At 52.8% G+C, this 1,785-nt stretch overlaps 1 annotated feature.

The window, feature by feature from the left end:
- Positions 1,399-1,498: a silencer, noted in NCBI's record as "silent region_14647". NCBI's record gives its function as "represses an Ori minimal core promoter by ATAC-STARR-seq in GM12878 lymphoblastoid cells {active_cell/tissue: GM12878}" and the evidence as "EXISTENCE:reporter gene assay evidence [ECO:0000049][PMID:35858748]".

The raw sequence follows: 1,785 nt of genomic DNA on the forward strand, positions 1-1,785 counted from the left end.
CAGGCCAGGGGGCGGGACTTGGGCAAAGGGCACGTTTCTGCGTCTCCACCATGTTTTTGTGTTTTCGCTTCTTTGTCCTGATTCTCAAGAGACGGCTGGGGACTGGCTGTTTTTTTCTAGGGAGGTCAAGTCTTGCGGTAGCAGGAAGGAGACTTGGTGCTCTCATGGGAGGTGAGAGCAGCAGCCAGGACCTGGAGAACCTGAGGATGAGGGCGGGCAAGGTTTGGAAGCCTGTGGAAAAGAATCATATCATGTTTCCTGGGCCCCTGAGCGCCTGGGCTTGGGAACTAATGGACCACAGGGACACGCAGGTGCAGGTCTAGAAGCCCGTGAGTGTGCTGAGCAGCTCCACCAACCTCTCAGTGGGAATTACCCCCACGGAGGGCCAGCTGCCCAGCTCAGGGCCTTTGTAGGGCTGAGGAGGACTGGACTCCTGTCAGGGCAGAATGCAAGCGGATTTCCTCCCTTCTTTGCTTAGATTCTCCATCTACTGGTCCCTGCCTGGCATGCCTTCCCCTCCCAGGGTAGCTATTACATTTCTGCCAGGGTCTAAGCAAGAAAACAACACGGCTCCATTGTGTCAGGTTCTGAGAATTCTTTTTGTGAGCGTCAGGTTGGTGTCAGTGTCCCTAGGAGGGGCTGAAGGAGCCCGCCAGTCCCAAGGGAAAGGGACCCAGCCTGCAGGTGCAGAAGGAGCTGTATCAGGCCCTCAAGGCTAGCACTGAGCAAGACGGCAAAAATGAGGAATAGAGATGCGGGGATTTTATCATTTTGTGGGCACTTGAATGGGTTGCTTTATGTTTGTGACAACAAAGGGAAGAGGATTTCATTGTTGAGCACTTACTTTCTCTGTGTGATCAAAAGATTGACTTCAAAACGAGAGTTCTATCTCCAGGTATTTGCCTATTGCGGGTGTTGTTTGGGCTCTGCCATGACGCGGTGCTCATGGGTAACCAGCTTGGGGGCCAGGCTGGGCTGCGGCAGCTGAAGTGATTCAAGATGGCGAGAGAGGGGCTGAATGCTCAGCACGGGGCACCGTGGTCTGGGAGCTACAGTAAAAGCGGTATAATTAGCACAGTCATGAAAGGTGTAAGTTCTGGAACTCCACAGCCTCCCTTTATAGCCAGGCTCTACCACTCACCTGCTGGGTGATTTTGCGCCAGTTATTTAACCTTTCCTCAACGATTCCTGTTTCTTCCTCTGTAAAATGGGAGTCTAACAGTGTTGAAATTGTAGAATTATTGGGATAATTTCAGGAGTTAACGCATATGAAAAATATAAACAGTGCTTGGCACAGTACATGCTGAGCAGTATCAGCAGTATTCCCTGTGGTCCTGGGCAGGGGCAGACACCTGGCTTTGGGGATTTTGGGGAAGGAGGGGGAAGCATGTCCTGAGATCCTGGGTGACTCCTGGGTGGAGCCCAGCCTGGGCCTGACTAGTGTCTAGCAGCCCGATGAGGCTTGTCACTTAGGGGAGTTCCTGTCCTCAAGTGTCAGAGGCATTGGCACCTCTGGGCCCCACTGGGGGTAGCCTGTGCACACGTGCTATGTCCTGGGACCACAGAATGGGGAAGTGGCTGAGGTTTCTGCAGGGCCAGGAGAGGAGGCCACAGTCTCTGCTCTCCACTGAAACAAACTCAGCTGTCTTTGACCACTTCATGAGCTAGGGAACGGGGCAACCTTGCAAACGAGGTATCATTTTCTCTCTATTTTTTACGTGAAAGAGGCTCAGGAAAGTGGTGAAGACAAAAAGTGGAGCAGGAATCGAACTCACGCCCAACTCC

The sequence above is a fragment of the Homo sapiens genome, chromosome 3, assembly GCF_000001405.40.
Source record: "Homo sapiens chromosome 3, GRCh38.p14 Primary Assembly".
NCBI classification, from domain to species: Eukaryota; Metazoa; Chordata; class Mammalia; order Primates; family Hominidae; genus Homo; species Homo sapiens.